We start from the raw sequence: 19,040 nt of genomic DNA, 5'->3' as shown, positions 1-19,040 counted from the left end.
AAGGGCTTAATTTTATTAAAGAAATAAGAAAAGTATGTTGTGATTCAGAGGACTCTTTATCAGACCTGTAGAAGGGAAAACACATCTAAAAGATTTGAGGATGAATTAAATTACGAACTGTTGAACACGCTGACATTTTTCCAGTTCCTTGAAAAGGTAAAATTGATTTCCACAGGAACTACCTCTGATATTCCTATTACTGTTGGGATGTTAGAGAACATTTTAAAGAAAATGTTTATTGCCTTTCAATACTTTTCTATATTTTTTACCACTTTTCAACAAGTCATTAGTAGCATTTTCTTCTAGGTTGTATATAGGTGAAATTGTAAAACAAAGAAAACTACTTCTTGTTTTAAAAGATTTTAAAAATAGGCAGGTGCAGTGGCTCACGCCTATAATCCAACACTTTGGGAGGCTGAGGCAGGAGGATCATTTCAGCCCAGGAGTTCGAGACCAGCCTGGTCAACACATTGAGACCCCACCTCTACAAAAAGTAAAATTAAAAAAAAAATTTTTTGTTTTTTACTGGACACAGTAGCATGTGCCTGTAGTCCCAGTTACTTGGGAGGATGAGGCAGGAGATCCCTGGATCCCAGGAGTTTGAAGCTGCGATGAGCTATGATCACACCACAGTCCTGCAGGCTGGGTGACAGAGTGAGATCCTGTCTCAGAATTTAAAAAGAAAAGAAAATATTTTAAAAATAAACATATAATTTGTATTTAGATTAATGAACTAAATTTTATACATTTACTTAAATATTTAAATAGAACTATATGAAAGTGCCATTTTTCTAGATTAATTATGGTCAATTCTGGGCAATTTCTTTTTTTGAGACGGAGTCTCACTCTGTCACCCAGGCTGGAGTGCAGTGGTACGATCTTGGCTCACTGCAAGCTCCGCCTCCCGGGTTTGTGCCATTCTCCCGAGTAGCTGGGACTATAGGCACCCGCCATCACGCCCAGCTAATTTTGTTTTTGTGTTTTTAGTAGAGACGGGGTTTCACCTTGTTAGCCATGGTGGTCTCGATCTCCTGACCTCGTGATCCGCCTGCCTCAGCCTCCCAAAGTTCTGGGATTACAGGCATGAGCCACTGCGCCCAGCCAATTATGTGCAATTTCATATGGTCCAATCTAACATATATGTGAACCATATAGCAGTAAAAACAACAAAGAATATAACATGTTACCTCTTTACATGAGGACATTTTGGTTTTAATTGTTCTTGTTATTCATATTCCCAACTATTAGTTCCTAGGTCTTTCCAGTAGTTTTATCTTTTTTTCTCTTTTTATTATTAACTGTAAACTGTAAACTAGACAGAGTTGCCACGCTTTAGGTTAAATTGACCCCACTTTGCTCTTTAGCAAGAAGGTCTTGACTGGCTTTTATATCTTAATTTGATCTGTTTCTTGTCTTCTAGCTCAGTGGCTTCTACTCAGTTGGAAGATAAACTGTCATTTCTGGTTCTCCTATTCTCATTCTGTTCTGGTTGGGAAGGGTGGTGAGGGCTGGGATGGTGATATGCCCATCATGGCTGTTATATGACCTTTTTTAATATTTTCTCTGGAAGAATGATTCTGATTCAGCATCTTCTTTCCTTTAAGTCATGATGCCATTTTGCATTTAGTCAATTTATCAGAAACTAAAAATGTTGCAAATCCCCATATGTGTGAGTTTCACTATGCTTTTTATTTCCCTGTAAAGTATGGTAAGGTATAAATGAGTTTATGAAAAATAGAAAACAATAATTCTGAGTTTAGTTTTGGATCTTGGGTTGCCTGGGCATACTCACTAGCTAAGTATTTTTCACATACTAGCCATGAAGTATGCATGATTCATATCCATACCTTAGCAAAATTGTAAACCACTATACTATCTAGTACTTAGGTCTTTTTGTACTCTAGGATTTGGGGACTCTTAAGATTATTCTGGAAAAAAAAGTATAGAAGAAAAACAGCAAAAATACACCTTCAGTGCCTTATCTTAGCTATGGTCACTGTTATATTGTCAAGTATTATAAATTTGTATTATGGTTTTTTTTTTTGAGATGGAGTCTCGCTCACATTGTGCAGGTTGGAGTGCAGTGGCATGATCTCAGCTCACTGCAACCTCCACCTCCTGGGTTCAAGTGATTCTCCTTCCTCAGCCTCCCAAGTAGCTGGGATTACAGGCGTGCGCCACCATGCCTGGATAATTTTTGTATTTTTAGTACAGACGAGGTTTTGCCATGTTGGCCAGGCTGGTCTTGAACTCCTGACCTCAGGTGATCCACCCGCCTCAGCCTCCCAAAGTGCTAGGGTTACAGGTGTGAGCCACTGCACCCAGCCTGTATTATGGTTTTTAAAAACATCCCCTCTTGTTTTCTTCAGATAAAAATGATAGAAAGACCCAAAATTGCTGCTGTCTGTGGACATTATGATTATTATTATGCTCAACTTGATATGCTGAGGAGGAGAGCCCACAAACCAAGTTATCACCCTATTCCTCAAGAAAATACTGGAGTTGAGGATTACGGTCAGGAAACGAGGCATGGTCCATCCCCAAGTCAATGGTAATATTGTGGTCTAGCTTAAGCTTTGGTTAATCTAAAAATATCTTTATATATTAACATTTATTATTCTGAAATCCAAATTCTCCTAACACAAATAATCCAAGAAGAACTTTCCAAATCTTCATTTTAAACACATAGTTCCCTTGACCTTTTTCTTTTGTTTGCTTTTGTAGACAGTCTCACTCTGATGCCTAGGCTAGAGTGCGGTGGCGCAATCTCAGCTCACTGCAACCTCTGCCTTCTGAGTTCAAGCGATTCTCGTGCCTCGGCCTCTCCAGTAGCTGGGACTACAGGCGTGCACCACCATGCCCAACTGATTTTTATATTTTTAGTAAAGACAGGGTTTCACCATGTTGGCCAACCTGATCTTGAACTCCTGACCTCAGGTGATCTGCCCGCCTCAGCCTCCCAAAGTGCTGGGATTACAGGCATGAGCCACCATGCCTGGCCATGTTAGTCCCTTCTTTCTATGTCAGCCCTATACCTGCTTGTTAGTTGGTTCTTCAAATTCTCAGGTACCCTCTCACCAGGCAGCCACTGACCTCATGTGATCCACCTGCCTTGGCCTCCTAAAGTGCTGGGACTACAGGCAAGAGCCACTATTCCCAGCCTTTCTTTCTTTTTTTTTTGTTAGAAAGATTTTGTTTTTATTTCCATCAGAATGTCATATATGTTACACAAATCAAATCTGTTGACATCTCAAGCTTATAACAATTACGTGTTCTTATAAATTACGTGGGAATTACATGTACTGTGAGAAGTGTTGTAATTATGATGTAATGTATATTATAATTTAGCCTACAGAAGTAACAAAGTCTTGTAATTAAATAAAGCAATAAATGTGTTGATAGATTATTACAATTGATAAGTAATTGATAAATTATCTTCTTTTTCCTGTAACCCTTCTTCATCTCAAGTCTGATCTAGCTTATTTTCTTATTCATAGAGCTGCTTAACTGTAGGCACAGACCCATACCCTTGCTCTTTTAATATTCTTTCTTCCTCCTACTAAATTCCACTATATGGCAGGTGAAAAAATAGTTGTGTATATTTCATTTCTCAAAGAGGTTACTAATATGAATCAATAATTGAATCATTAAAATCAAATGATCATTTGAGACATTTTGAGAAATAAGATATATTTCATTCGGCATTTATGTTCTAGGGATTTTCAAAATATGGACATGTTAGAAAGAAAATAGTATTCTTAAATTGGTCTTATGGTAGATTTTCAAAAAATTTACTCCATAATAGATTTCTGCAGATCTACAATATTTTCAAATTTTTTTCACACTGATGTTGACATTCCTGTGTTCAGAATAATTGACACCTAACAGAGGCCTGAAGACTTAAGTCTAAGAGTTCTATTTTAAAAATGTTTTGTCATCAATTTTTTTTGTTCAGGGTTAAGAATTTGTTACTTTGGCGACTCTGATTGTTTATTGTTGAAATTTTGGATGAATTATGAAAAACACAAGATACTATGGGATGGCAATCTCATTAATAGTGAAAATGAGATAAGCAAGAATGATAAGAGAATAATTTCTTCAGAAACATATAACGGGAAAAGCATATGTTTTATCTTTAAAGATATTGGGCACTGTTGTGGTTTTTATCGATCTTCATAACACATTTTTAATTATCTCCACAATTATCAAAAGTTATGTCTTCTGTCCGTTCAAATTGTAATATCCATATTGGACTCAATTAGTGAGGGACATAGATTTTACAGAAGAACTGGAGCAGCCACAAAACTCCCTTTCTCTTTTCTCAACCACTGGGAAAATATATCTTCCACTCTTTGTCTAGATTTGAGAGCTGTCAAGCTATCAATTATTTTGACCACATGTGATTTTATATCTCCCAAGCTCTCACATGAAACAGTAGGAAGGGTCCTTCTCTTTCCTGGATGCCCCTTTGATGCCTGGTAACCCCTCCTCTTTGTATACTCCCTCATCCCCAGCTTTCTGTCTGCTGGAGGTCCAATTACAGGCCATGGGATGGAGGAAAAGGATTTTTTTTTTTTTTGAGACAGAGTCTCGCTCTGTCGCCCAGGCTGGAGTGCAGTGACGCGATCTTGGCTCACTGCAAGCTCCGCCCCCTGGGTTCACACCATTCTCCTGCCTCAGTCTCCAGAGTAGCTGGGACTACAGGCGCCTGCCACGACACCTGGTTAATTTTTTTGTATTTTTAGAAGAGACAGGGTTTCACTGTGTCAGCCAGGAGGGTCTCAATCTCCTGACCTTGTGATCCACCCGCCTTGGCCTCCCAAAGTGCTGGCATTACAGGCATGAGCCACCATGCCCGGCCGAGGAAGAGGAATTTGTATAGGATTTGGGGGGTGGAGAGGGAATAGGTAGACAGAGAGATAGAGAATGTCTTTTGGACAGCCCCTGGGTGTTGGAATCATTTTTCTCATGAAGATATTGATACATGTGCCAGTTAGGCTTATGAGACAGATGAGTGCTACAATTTACCCTCATTTGATTCAAGAACTATCTGTGTGTCAGGCACTTCACAGCCCTAATCTCTTCTAATCCTCGTATCAATTCCTGTGAAATGGTACCATGCCCACTTTACAGCTGAGGAACTAAGACTCAAAGACTTTAGCTTGTCATTTCATCCTATTTCTAAATCCCTGATTATTAACTTGCCTCTTTGTAAATTGGGGATGCTTATCATGATGTTCCTTCCTAAAGGAGTTATTTCTGAAATTACAGTTCTGTCTTTGGAGCCTTAGAAGTTACTCGTATTCCAAAAAACTTATGGTCTGAAATGCGGTTTTTATTTAGCAACCAATAATTACAGAAATGTTTTACAGGAAATTCTGCCAAAAAAAAGATACATAAAATGTGAGTATAAACTTGAAAATTGTTTGACTGGAATTGACTAAAATTGTGCTGGAAAAATACCTTAAACATTTGGAGAGACAGCTAAACCATTATTTCTTTCCTCATTAAGCATTTATGTGCGGAGATAAAGGGATGGATGGAGGGACACATTCTGCTCTCAGGGAGCTCAGTATGTGGTGCAGGAAACAGATATGCAGCCATTCTTTTTTTTCTTTTCTTTTCTTTTTTTCTTTTTTTTTTGAGATGGAGTCTCACTCTGTCACTCAGGCTGGAGTGCAGTGGTGCGATTTTGGCTTACTGCAACCTCTGCCTCCCTGCTCAGCCTCCCCAGTAGCTGGGATTACAGGTGCCCACCACCACGCCCCACTAATTTTTTTTAGCAGAGACGGGGTTTCACCATGTTGGCCAGGCTGATCTCGAACTCCTGACCTCGTGATCCACCCACCTCGGCCTCCCAAAGTGCTGGGGTTACAGGTGTGAGCCACCACATCTAGCCACTATTGTTAAATCAGGAGCGACAACCTGTACATTAGACACCTACACAAAGCGTGAGAACTTCTGGGTGTGGGTCTGTTTTCCTCCCCACAACATATTATAGAGAATGGAAGGACTGAATCTTGTCCTGAAGAAAAATCACTGGATAAGAATATTTTTCTGTTTAATCCTCTCCTGTATCCCCACTTGTTACTCTTCATCCTTTTTTCCTTTTGATTCCAAAATTTTCTTTTCCAATGTAAAGATTCTGTAACTGTGAACTACTTCTTGAACTTGGAACTTCAAGCCACTGGTGAATTGTGAATCTCATTACTAAACTGAAAATTACTCGTCAAATTGGTGCCTAAGATTTGTTCAAGTTTCTACTTAAGCTGAACATTCTTATTTTCTAAGGCCTGCTGAGTACCTTCAGAGAAAATTTGAAGCTCAACAATATAAGTTGAAAGTGGAGAAGCAATTGGTAAGTAAAATACCAAATATGGGAAGCAATTAGGAATTTCCTAATAGTTTTTCTGTTCACAGATTTTCAAGTCAAAGTTCATTCCACCAGAAGGTCAAGAATACTCTCTACTAGTCCCCAGTTTTTTTTGTTTTTGTTTTTGTTGTTGTTGTTTTCTGAGACAGAGTCTCGCTCTGTCACCAGGCTGGAGTGCAGTGGTGTGATCTTGGCTCACTGCAACCTCTGCCTCCCAGGTTCAAGCAATTCTCCTTCCCCAGCCTCCTGAGTAGCTGGGATTACAGGCGCCCACCACCACGCCCAGCTAACTTCTGTATTTTTAGTAGAGACAGGGTTTCACCATGTTGTCCAGGCTGGTCTCGAACTCCTGATCTCGGGTGATCCACCCACCTAGGCCTCCCAAAGTGCTGGGGTTACAGACGTGAGCCACTGCACCTGGCCCGAGTCCCCAGTTTTTAATAGCTAAATAAAATAATGGGAACAGGCTTGAATCAGAGTCTTAGCAGTCCGGTTTCTTCCTTGGCTCTATCTCTTCTGTGGGACCTTGGACAGTTCATTCAGCCTATCTGAGCCTTAATTTCCTTTTCTATAAATGACAATTTTTAGAGTAGATGAGCTTCAAATTTCCTTGCAGTGCTGTAGTGCTTTGGTTCTATTTTGTTAAAGATTCTGCTGCACATTAAAAAAAGTGACAAGGGGCCAGGTGCGGTGGCTCATGCCTGTAATCCCAGCACTTTGGGAGGCCAAGGTGGGCGGATCATAAGATCAGGAGTTCAAGATGAGCCTGACCAACATGGTGAAAGCCCGTCTCTACTAAAAATACAAAAATTAGCCAGGCATGATGGTGCACACCTGTAATCCCAGCTACTTGGGAGGCTGAGGCAGGAGAATTACTTGAACCCAGGAGGAGGAGGTTGCAGTGAGCCGAGATCGCCCTACTGCACTCTAGCCTGGGCGACAGAACGAGACTCTGTCTCAAAAAAAACAAAAAAAACAAAAACCAACAACAAAAAAGTGATTAGGCCAGATATTATGGCTCATGCCTGTAATCCCAGCACTTTGGGAGGCTGAGGTGGGTGGATTGCTTGAGCCCAGGAGTTCGAGACTAGCCTAGGCAACATAATGAGACCTTATCTCTACCAAAAAAAACAAAAATTACCCAGGTGTTGTGGTGTGTGCCTGTAGTCCCAGCTACTGAGGGGGCTGAGGCCGGAGGATTGCTTAAGCTTGGGAGGCAAAGGTTACAGTGAGCTAAGATTGCGCCACTGTACTCCAGCCTGGGTGACAGAGTGAGACTCTGTCTTAAAAAAAAAAAAAAAAAGAAAGGCTGGGCTTGATGGCTCATGCCTGTAATCCCAGCACTTTGGGAGGCCAAGGCGGGCAGATCACGAGGTCAGGAGATTGAGACCATCCTGGCTAACACAGTGAAACCCTGTCTCTACTGAAAATACAAAAAATTAGCCGGGTGTGGTGGCGGGTGCCTGTAGTCCCAGCTACTCGGAAGGCTGAGACAGGACAATTGCTTGAGCCTAGGAGTTGGAGGCTGCAGTGAGCCAAGATCATGCCGCTGTACTCCAGCCTGGGTGACAGAGTGAGACGCTCTCAAACAGAAAAAAATATATATTTTTTAATGCTTTATAATTAAGAAAATTCTACTACTTACCACAAAAAAAACTCCCAAATACTGAGTTTGCTTAGTGATATAATTCTTATTTATAGGAAAAAGTCAATGTCAAATCAGAAGATGTTTCCGAAATCAAAGTATGCATTATAAATTATTTCATTCAATAAATAGGGTCTTCGTCCATCTTCTGCCGAGCCAAATTACAACCAGAGACAAGAGCTAAGAAGTAATGGAGAAGAGCCTAGATTCCAGGAGCTGCCATTTAGGAAAAACGAAATGAAGGAACAGGTTAAAAACTGTTTAATTCCAGGGCTACCCTTGTATTTCTTTGTATTACTGTCTTTTGTACTGTAATAGGGAGTTACTTCTATTTCCTACAGTGCCCCTGAATATGTCAACACCATGCTGAGTGTTATAGGGGATACAGAGTTAGGTATTTCACTTTCTCAGATAATGCGATATGGCTAAGTTCATAAAGCTTTTCACCTTGAGATTCATAGAGTAACTGTCCATCAGTAACAGGTTTGGGATTTGTATTAGTTTCCTGGGCTGCTGTAACAGAGTTCAACAAACTAGGTGGCTTAACACAATAGAAATGTATTGTCTCACAATTCTGGAAGAGTGGAAATAGAAAATCAAGGTGTCAGCAGGACCAAGTGCCCTCTGAAACCTGTAGGGGAATCCTTCCTTGCCTCTTCCTAGCTTCTGGTGCGTCACTGGCAATCTTTGGCATTTCTTTACTTGCAGTCGCATCACTCCATTCTCTGCCTTCATCACATGCTGTTCTTCCTGTGTGTCCCTGTCTTCACATGGCCATCTTCTTGCAAGGACATCAGTCATATTGAACTAAGGGCCCACTGGTATGATCTCATCTTAAGTAGTCTCATCTGCAGCGACCCTGTTTTCAAATGGGGTCACATTCTAAGGCACTGGGGGTTAGGACTTCAACATATCTCTTTTTGGGGAGGAACAAACTTCAGTGCATAAGAGGGTTATATATAAAAGTGGGATTTATAAAGTAAGTGTACATCATGAACACATTTGGGTTATATATAAAATTGAGCTCTGTAGCTAAAGCCACTGTCTCACAGGGAGTGAAGTACTGCAGCCAAAACATAAGGCAGATTATCATCTTTAGGAGCAACATATTTTTCTAACCTTATTTTATATTACACACTTTTGAAATTGTAGGCTGCAGAAAGATTATTTTTGTTATGGTGTTCATAAACATTTAAAGTTTCTGGATTGGGTTTGCTTTCCAGGAATATTGGAAGCAGTTAGAGGAAATACGCCAACAGTACCACAATGACATGAAAGAAATTAGAAAGAAGATGGGGAGAGAACCAGAGGTAAATTCATTCTTCTAGGGGAAACATTGTTCTATCGATTTAGAGCTAACTAAATTGAGCTGGTATTAAAAGTAATGATTTCCTTATAGAAAAGATAAAGTTTTATCATAGAGATAATCATGTAGACTTCTTTTTTAATAGGAAAGCTGTCAGACCTCATTGGAGCTTCAGTTTATTATGGTTTATGAGAGACTACACAAGATAATAAGGATATCTGAGATTCTCAGGAATGGCTATTATTAAAAGTACTTATTGATTGTTTCCTTCATGAATCACTCAATACATATTTATTGAGTGGCAACTTTAGACCAGAGCTGGATTAGATGCAGAAAGTCCAAAATGAGTGTAAGTTCATGCCCAGAAGGTGGGAAAAAAACAAACCCAACACACTAGCATTTTTTCAACTCTCTGCAGGGTAAGGTTCTAAAGGCTATTTAAGGCAAAATCTGAGTGCAGTTGAACTGATTCTTAAAAATCTCTTAAAGGCGCCACATTGGAAATTCATCCTTCCATCTCCCAAGAAGGTCTCTAGAGTTGGCACAGATCACTGCTTCTTCAGAAGAGCTTCACATGAAATAGCCAGCCTGTGTTTGGAAACCATGTTGTAAGAAAGACACATGGCTATTGAAACACTAGGAACACACTCAGTGCCCTGGAATGCTCTCCTAGGAGAAGCTTGCAGGCACTGAGACAGCTGTCTCCCATCCCACATGCACTTGGCCACACACTCATTGAGTAGAGCTACCATGCTGCTGAAATTGATCTCTCTCTCTCTTTCTCCCACCGCAGTGCATACAGATAAATTCATATAAGTCAAATGAATGTATGGTGCAATTCAGTTGTGTTTGCCAGGCCATGAACTAGAGCTTTCACATACTGTATTAGTCTGCTCTCATACTGCTAATAAAGACATACCCAAGACTGGGTAATTTATAAAGAAAAAGAGGTGTAATAGACGCACAGTTTCACATGGCTGGGGAGGCCTCACAATCATGGCAGAAGGCAAAGGAGGAGCAAAGTCATGCCTTACATGAAGGCAGGCAAGAGAGCTTGTGTAGGGGAACTCCTATTTACAAAACCATCAGATCTTGTGAGACTTACTCACTACCATTAAAATAGTATGGGAGAAACCACCCCGATGATTCAGTTATCTCCACCTGGCCCCACCCTTGACAAATGAGGATTATTACAATTCAAGGTGAGATTTGGGTGGGGATACAGAGCCAAACCATATCACGTTCATACTTTCTTTTATTTACCCCTGTACAGAGAAGTTAAGTAGCTCATCCAAAGTCACGTAGCTATTACAAGGCAGACGAAATATTTAAATATCTGACTCTAGGCTGGGCACGGTAGCTCATGCCTGTAATCCCAGCAATTTGAAAGGCTGAGGTGGGAGGATTGCTTGAGCCTAGGAGTTTGAGACCAGCCTGGGCAACATAGGGAAACCCTAGCTCTAAACACACACACACACACACACACACACACACACACACACACACACACACACACACTCTCTCTCTCTCTCTCTCTCTCTCTCTCACTCTCTCTCTCTCTCTCTCTCTCTTTAAATTAGCCGGACATGGTGGTTTGCACCTGTAGTCCTAGCTACTTGGGAGGCTAAAGCAGAAGGATTGCTTGAGCTAGGAGCTAAAGGCTGCAGTGAGCCATGATTGTGCCACTGTACCCCAGCCTGGGATACAGAGCAAGACTCGGTCTCAAAAAAATAAAGTAAAATAAAATGAAAATCTGACTCTAAAACCCCTACTCATGTTCATGCCTGTAATCCTAGCATTTTGGGAGGCCAAGGCAGAAGGATCGCTTGAGCCCAGGAGTTTGAGACCGGCCTGGGCAACATAATGAGACTCCATATGTACAAAAAATTTAAAAAATTAGTGGGTCATGGTGGCAAATGCTTGTAGTCCCAGCTACTCAGGAGGCTGAGTTGGGAGGCTGAGGTTGAAGCTGCTGTGAACTGTGATTTTTCCACTGCACTCCAGCCTGGGCAACAGAGGGAGGCCCTGTCCCAAAAAATAAAAAAATACAATTATAACCACTATTCTTTCTGGCATATGCAGTTCTACTTATAAATGGTTGGAATGACGAGACACATGTATAAAACAATCATAGAGTAAGCCCTGTAGGTGCACAGGAGCCAAGATGAGCAGAATGAGCAGGTAGCGGGTATTTATGGAAGAAGTGGGTGGGGCCTAAAGAGTGGAATTTGGAGAGGCAGAGTTAAAGGAGGAGAGTGGGCATTCTGAAAGAACCATGCAAAGGTTGGGACAGAGGACTGTGTGTGCTGGGAGGGGCAGCCTGGAGGTTGTTCTCTCTGGAGCAGAGGCCTGGCTCATGGGCAGCCTGGAGCCATCATCAGCCTTATGTCTAAGGCTGATCTGGGATGGGCAGCCTGAGCCCTGCAAAAATGGATAGCAGACATTGGTCAGGCGCGGTAGCTCACGCCTGTAATCCCAGCACTTTGGGAGGCTGAGGTGGGCGGATCACGAGGTCGGGAGATCGAGATCATCCTGGCTAACACAGTGAAACCCTGTCTCTACTAAAAAGACAAAAAATTAGCCAGGCGTGGTGGTGCGTGCCTATAGTCCCAGCTACTTGGGAGGCTAAGGCAGGAGAATGGCATGAACTCAGGAGGCAGAGCTTGCAGTGAGCCAAGATCGCACCACTGCACTCCAGCCTGGGTGACAGAGTGAGACTCCATCTCAAAAAAAAAAAAATGGTGGATATCAGACATTTCTACAGAGGCTATGGAGGAAGGATTTGGGAAATACTGAAGCTGTGGCGGGGAAAAGGAGCTATAAAAAGGGTTCTGTCCAGCCATTTCATCATTGATCGCGCATCAGCCAAGTAGCCTTCAGAGCTCACTCAGAACCAATCTTGTTGACTGTGTATAATTTGTGTTAAAGGAGAACTCAAAAATAAGTCATAAAACCTATTTGGTGAAGAAGAGTAACCTGCCTGTCCATCAAGATGCATCTGAGGGAGAAGCACCTGTGCAGGTAATGATGGCTATGATCAGATGTGTGTGCTTGCAGTGTGTGTGCTCTACCCCAAGTGGCTCTTACCCTTCTCTGTGCAGCAGAACCACGTAGGGAACTTTTTTTTTTTTTCTATGAGACGGAGTCTCACTCTGTCGCCAGGTTGGAGTGCAGTCGTGCGATCTTGGCTCACTGCAGTGTCTGCCTCCTGGGTTCAAGTGATTTCCTGCTTCAGGCTCCCGAGTAGCTGGGACTACAGGCATGCGCCACCATGCCCAGCTAATTTTTGTATTTTTAGTAGAGACAGGATTTCACCATGTTGGCCAGGATGGTCTTTATCTCTTGACCTCGTGATCCACCAGCCTCGGCCTCCTAAAATGCTGGGATTATAGGCATGAGCCACCGCCTTTTTACCAGAACTTTTAAAAACTCAGATGCCTCTCTCTGCCCCAGATGGTCTGGGATGAGGCCCAGGCATTCTGTCTGCAGAAGCTTGCTGGGTGATTTAGTAAGCAGCCAAGTTTGAGAACTGCTGCTATTTAGTATAAGAACGTTCCACTCTCTGGAGGGTCTAAGTCAGTGTATCAGACACATTGGTCAGGAAATCTGAGTCAAGTTCTCTTCCATTTCAACCTTATGTTTTTGGTGGAGGTAAGAGCCTGGGCAGAGTTGAAATAACAAATAAATCTCAAGAGAGTTTTTTTCCCTTCTGAGAAAAGATAATGCAATTATAATACAAGATGAATCTGTTGATTTCAACCAATTCTGAGAATTATTAAACCTGTGAAATGACCTGATAAACAATGCTTTTATGGTTACATAAAATAATTACATAAAATGTTTTACTTTCCAAGGAGTTATATTTATTTTGCGAATAAGAAGCCCAAGTGTGCTTTTATTTTTGCTTAGTAAGAAGATTCTCAATGATTTGGCCCATACTAAGAATTATTATTATCTTTTTTTTTTAGATGGAATTTCGCTCTTGTTGCCCAGGCTGGAGTGCAATGGCACGATCTTGGCTCACCGCAACCTCCGCCTCCCAGGTTCAAGCGATTCTCCTGCCTCAGCCTCCTGAGTAGCTGGAATTATAGGCGCCTGCCACCGCGCCCAGCTAATTTTTGTATTTTAGTAGAGACAGGGTCTCACCATGTTGGCCAGGCTGGTCTTGAACTCCTGACCTCGGGTGATCCACCTGCCTCAGCCTCCCAAAGTGCTGGGATTATAGGCATGAGCCACCCCGCCTGAGCGAATTATTATTATCTTTATAATTAGAGTAATTCTCTGTGTTTTAAATTATATTTATTATTAGAGCTTGGTCCAGAGTCAACTAGAAATGGAAAATCCTCAAGGTATTATAAACTTGTCATTTAAAGGTGCCAGTAGGATCACAGTCACATTCCATAAAAACACGGCTCAGATGTTACAGACATGTTTTTCTCTCACATTTTTTAACCTGGTTAGAGTAAATCCAGTGCCTTAAAGTTTTTAATAAGTCAGGTAATTAAAAATAAACCACTGGAAGCCTCAAAAAGTTTGTATCAGGAATTGGGTGAATAAAATCTTGTATATTTTATGCAAGAGGAGTAACTTTGAAAGAAAACACACCAAAATGCCAATGGTGGTAATTGGTGGTATCTGGATTGGTGTGAGTAGGAATGATTATTGTCTCTCTACTTTTTAGATTTTTTATAAGAAGGTTACAGAACTTTTACTACAAATATGTATAATAAAGTATCCGTTCCTTAGTTCTGTCAGCACTCTAATCAATATCTTCAAACAAAAAAGCCATCTGAAAGACAGAAATGGTGGCACGAGACTATAGTTCCAGCTATTTAGGAGGCCGAGGATCCCTTGAGCTCAGGAGTTTGAGACCAGCCTTGGTAATATAGTGAGACCCCATCTCTAAAAAAAAAGAAAAGGCATCTGATATTTCCTGAAGGCTCCTCCAGAGCAATCCAGCAGCAGATACCTTTGCAAACTTTTGTAAAGGAAATAATTATCACTTAATTTGTCTAATTTTTGGATTTAGGTTTTAATTATCTTTTTTGAAGGGAATATGCAGCTATATAATAAGACACTTTAAAAAAGTCTCTACTTGTAGAGTTATCTTTCCAAAATACTGATTTGAACATTATTTCTCTACACGACAATCAATGGCGACTGCCATTTCTCTTAGCATGGCATGCTAGACTTTTGTGAGTTGTTCCTAACAGAATGTTCCAGCCTCATTGCTCACATTTCCCCCAAACATACCCAAAGCTCTAAATGTCTCAGATTACCTTTTTTTTTTTTAAATGACATATTTTTTATTTCTTTAAGTGATTTTTTTCACTGTGGTAAAATACATATAACATCGCCTTTACCACCCTAACCATTTTTTTTTTTTTTTTTAATTGATCATTCTTGGGTGTTTCTCGCAGAGGGGTATTTGGCAGGGTCATAGGACAACAGTGGAGGGAAGGTCAGCAGACAAACAAGTGAACAAAGGTCTCTGGTTTTCCTAGGCAGAGGACCCTGCGGCCTTCCGCAGTGTTTGTGTCCCTGGGTACTTGAGATTAGGGAGTGGTGATGACTCTTAACGAGCATGCTGCCTTCAAGCATCTGTTTAACAAAGCACATCTTGCACCGCCCTTAATCCATTTAACCCTGAGTGGACACAGCACATGTTTCAGAGGGCACAGGGTTGGGGGTAAGGTCACAGATCAACAGGATCACAAGGCAGAAGAATTTTTCTTACTATAGAACAAAATGAAAAGTCTCCCATGTCTACCTCTTTCTACACAGACACGGCAACCATCCGATTTCTCAATCTTTTCCCCGCCTTTCCCCTCTTTCTATTCCACAAAACCGCCATTGTCATCATGGCCCGTTCTCAATGAGCTGTTGGGTACACCTCCCAGACGGGGTGGTGGCCGGGCAGAGGGGCTTCTCACTTCCCAGTAGGGGCGGCCGGGCAGAGGCGCCCCTCACCTCCCGGACGAGGCGGCTGGCCGGGCGGGGGGCTGACCCCCCCCCACCTCCCTCCCGGATGGGGCGGCTGGCCGGGCGGGGGGCTGACCCCCCCCCACCTCCCTCCCGGACGGGGCGGCTGGCCTGGCGGGGGCTGACCCCCACCTCCCTCCTGGACGGGGTGGCTGCCGGGCGGAGACGCTCCTCACCTCCCAGACGGGGTGGCTGCCGGGCGGATAGGCTCCTCACTTCTCAGACCGGGCGGCTGCCGGGCGGAGGGGCTCCTCACTTCTTAGACGGGGCGGTTGCCAGGCGGAGGGTCTCCTCGCTTCTCAGATGGGGCGGCCGGGCAGAGACGCTCCTCACCTCCCAGACAGGGTCGCGGCCGGGTAGAGGCGCTCCTCACATCCCAGACGGGGCGGCGGGGCAAAGGCGCTCCCCACATCTCAGACGATGGGCGGCCGGGCAGAGACGCTCCTCACTTCCTAGATGGGATGGCGGCGGGGCAGAGACGCTCCTCACTTTCCAGACTGGGCAGCCAGGCAGAGGGGCTCCTCACGTCCCAGACGATGGGCGGCCGGGCAGAGACGCTCCTCACTTCCCAGACGGGGTGGCGGCCGGGCAGAGGCTGCAATCTCGGCACTTTGGGAGGCCAAGGCAGGCGGGTGGGAGGTGGAGGTTGTAGCCAGCCGAGATCACGCCACTGCGCTCCAGCCTGGGCACCATTGAGCACTGAGTGAACCAGACTCCGTCTGCAATCCCGGCACCTCGGGAGGCTGAGGCTGGCGGATCACTCGCTGTTAGGAGCTGGAGACCAGCCCGGCCAACACAGCGAAACCCCGTCTCCACCAAAAAAATACGAAAACCAGTCAGGCGTGGCGGTGCGCCCCTGCAATCGCAGGCACTCGGCAGGCTGAGGCAGGAGAATCAGGCAGGGAAGTTGCAGTGAGCCGAGATGGCAGCAGTACAGTCCAGCTTCGGCTCGGCATCAGAGGGAGACCGTGGAAAGAGGGGAGAGGGAGAGGGAGAGGGAGAGGGAGAGGGATCAGATTACTTTTTAAAGCCCTACTTATTTAAAAAGACATCTTCCTTTTAACCTCCAGGCTTTTGTAAAATGCTTATTTCTCTACTGAAATATCCCTTCCCTCTCTTCTCTTCTTGCAGAACACATCTATCAGACCTCCTGGTGAAGTTTCTAGCACAGCTTTTTTCTCTTTCTCCCTTAGAATTAATAACTGCCTCATCTGTATTTCCACAGCATTTCCAAGTACTTCATACACCAGCCTGTGTCAGTTTGAAGCATTATTAGCTATTTGCCCTGCAAACTTGGGAAGGGTTTTTCTGCCTTGCAGTAGTATGAAGTCTGAAATCAGGACTATGACTTATCTATCTTACTTATATTTGTGAAGTTGGTTGTCTGATTTGCTTGGATAGTCTGGTCATCTCAATTGTACAATAAGTGCTCCATTACTTTACTTTCCTTAAAATACAACGATCTCAGATTCCAACCCCAATCTACTCCAGTGGGTGGGACATTCAACCTTAGTGTGCTGTCAAGCTCTCCAGGGTCATGTCATCTGAAAGGCCCTCTTGGCCCTGTGAAGACTGATTAACTGTGTAGCCATGGAGTCTGGGATCTTGAGGCAGGAACTCTAGGCTGGTGTGCAGTCTCTTGCTCACTACTCCAATGTACTGCCACAGATTAGGACTTGAGTCCGCCATCTCTTTAAAAAAAAAAACAGTTTTATTGAGATATAATTGATCATAATAAACCACACATATTTAATGTATATACTTTATAAAATTTGGCAGGCACACCCATGAAACCCATCACCACAATCAATATAGTGAACATATCCATCACCTGCAAAAGTTTGTTGCGCCCTTTTGTAAACTCCTCTCTCTTATTCTCCCTACCTCTCCTCCCATCTCATCCCCATGCAATCACGGATCTGCTTTCTGTCGCTGTAGGTTGGTTTGAATTTTCTAGATTTGTTTGGATTACATAAATGGAGTCGTGCTGTATGTGCTCTTTTTTCTGGCTACTTTCATTCACATAATAATGTTGAGATTTATCTATGTTGCACATATTAATAGTTCATTATTATTCTTTATTGCTGAGTATATTCTATTGTATGAATGTATCAAAATTTATTGATCCATTCACTGTAGATGGATATTTGGGTTGTCTCCAGCTTTTGGCTATTATAAATAAAGCTGCTAGGAACATTCATATACAAATCTTTTTTTTTTTTTTTGAGACAAGTTTCGCCCTTGTTGCCCAGGCTGGAGTGCAATGGCACAATCTCAGTTCACCACAACCTCTGCCTGCTGGATTCAAGTGATTCTTCTGCCTCAGCCTCCCAAGTAGCTGGGATTACAGGCATGCGCCACCACGCCTGACTAATTTTGTATTTTTAATAGAGACAGGGTTTCACCATGTTGGTCAGGCTGGTCTCGAACTCCCGACCTGAGGTGATCCACCCACCTCAGCCTCCCAAAGTGCTGGGATTACAGGTGTGAGCCACTGTGCCTGGCTATCATGTACAAATCTTTATGTGGTCATGTGCTTCTTTTCTTTCTTTTGGGTAAATACATTGGACTGGGATGGATGGATCATATAGTAGGTGTATATTTAACTTTCAGAGAACTACCAAATGGTGTTCCAGAATGGTCGCACTGTGTTACACTCCCCTTGACATTGTATGAGTGTTTCAGTTCTCTCTGTGCAGCTCTCTCCTCTTTGGGTCTTTGTCTTTCAGACTCTAGCACCTTAATACCCCCCAAGCCTTGTCTTATCAACTCAGGGAGTTGGCCACACTCATCTTCGGTTTCCATCCCTGCACCTCTTCAGTTCCCCATCCCCGCACCATGGCTTGCAAACTCTCTCAAGACAGGAGGCTGGGGCAGTTGCAGGGCTTGTCTCATTGGTTTTCTGTTTCTTAGGGATTACTGTCTTTCATTGCTGGATGTCTAATGTATTAAAAACCATTTATCTATTATATGTTTGATTTGGCTCTTTGGTTGTTTCAGGTGCGGAATTAAATCTGGTTTCTGATACTCTGTCTTGGCTGAAAGCATACGTTTTCAGTGCCCACTGCTGGAGAGGGGTGGAGGGCACTCAAGAGTTCCATTTGGACATTGAGTTAGAGAAGTTGTGAGAGTTTACATACCTGCTCTGGAGCCTTTACCCCACTGTTCCCTCTGCATGGAAAATGCTCTCCCCAGACTGGCATATGCCAAGGTCCAATATCATTCCAGGGCTTAAATTGATTGCCAGATAAGCTTTGCCTGTATTACTCTCACTCCCTACTCATTTTCTGTCCTGTTATCCTATTTTGTTCCCTTGATAGCACTTAACACTTTCTGAAATTATGTCATTCGTTAACTCATTTATTACCTATCCTACTCCAGTAAAATGTAATTTTCGTGTCAGCAGGGACCTTTCTGGTCATGTCCACTGTGCTAACCCATTTTGAGGGTTTCTGGCCCCTGGGGAGTGCTCAGTGTGAATTTGTGGAGTGAATATTAAGATGAAGATAATGCTAAGTAGGCAGTTGGATATGTGAGTCTGGAGCTCAGAGGAGAGGAAAAGTGAAGCCTGAAGATACACATTTAAGAGTCTCTGCTTAACAGTGGCATTTAAATCCATAGGAATGAATGAAACCCCTTGTATTAGGGAATAGAAGAGCAGATGGCCCAAGATAGGATGCTAAGAAACCTCCGAATATGGAGTTCACATCTCAGTTGTGCCTTTGAAATTCTTG

General features: G+C 43.0%; 1 protein-coding gene across 17 annotated transcripts in view, besides 3 other annotated features; it reads left to right on the top strand.

The window, feature by feature from the left end:
- Window positions 1–19,040, top strand: part of NEK5 (NIMA related kinase 5) — a 95,463-nt gene that overhangs the window by 33,469 nt on the left and 42,954 nt on the right. For 13 of the 17 annotated variants that reach the window (XR_941575.3, XR_941574.3, XM_047430292.1 and 10 more), the window contains 5 exons: window positions 2,370–2,551; window positions 6,292–6,358; window positions 8,151–8,267; window positions 9,242–9,328; window positions 12,253–12,345. Coding sequence is in view for 15 of the 17 variants with exons in the window: in XM_047430292.1 (XP_047286248.1) it covers window positions 2,370–2,551; window positions 6,292–6,358; window positions 8,151–8,267; window positions 9,242–9,328; window positions 12,253–12,345 (546 nt within the window). In the remaining 2 variants the exon portion in view is untranslated. Of the gene's footprint in view, window positions 1–2,369; window positions 2,552–5,372; window positions 5,616–6,291; window positions 6,359–8,150; window positions 8,268–9,241; window positions 9,329–9,469; window positions 9,665–12,252; window positions 12,346–13,292; window positions 13,368–19,040 lie in introns of those variants that run through there. The other 4 variants (NM_199289.3, XM_006719808.5, XM_047430291.1 and 1 more) reach the window with 4 other exon arrangements.
- Window positions 7,478–7,772: an enhancer, noted in NCBI's record as "tiled region #10224; HepG2 Activating DNase matched - State 5:Enh". NCBI's record gives its function as "activates a minimal TATA promoter and a strong SV40 promoter by Sharpr-MPRA in HepG2 cells {active_cell/tissue: HepG2}" and the evidence as "EXISTENCE:reporter gene assay evidence [ECO:0000049][PMID:27701403]".
- Window positions 15,192–15,949: an enhancer, noted in NCBI's record as "H3K27ac-H3K4me1 hESC enhancer chr13:52653792-52654549 (GRCh37/hg19 assembly coordinates)". NCBI's record gives its function as "activates a minimal SCP1, AML or CMV promoter by ChIP-STARR-seq in primed H9 embryonic stem cells {active_cell/tissue: H9 hESC(primed)}" and the evidence as "EXISTENCE:reporter gene assay evidence [ECO:0000049][PMID:30033119]".
- Window positions 15,950–16,708: an enhancer, noted in NCBI's record as "H3K27ac-H3K4me1 hESC enhancer chr13:52653033-52653791 (GRCh37/hg19 assembly coordinates)". NCBI's record gives its function as "activates a minimal SCP1, AML or CMV promoter by ChIP-STARR-seq in primed H9 embryonic stem cells {active_cell/tissue: H9 hESC(primed)}" and the evidence as "EXISTENCE:reporter gene assay evidence [ECO:0000049][PMID:30033119]".

The sequence above is a fragment of the Homo sapiens genome, chromosome 13 (assembly GCF_000001405.40).
Source record: "Homo sapiens chromosome 13, GRCh38.p14 Primary Assembly".
In the NCBI taxonomy this organism is placed as follows: Eukaryota; Metazoa; Chordata; class Mammalia; order Primates; family Hominidae; genus Homo; species Homo sapiens.
The sequence above is the reverse complement of the archived record's forward strand: the minus strand, read 5'-3'. Positions and strand labels throughout refer to the sequence as shown.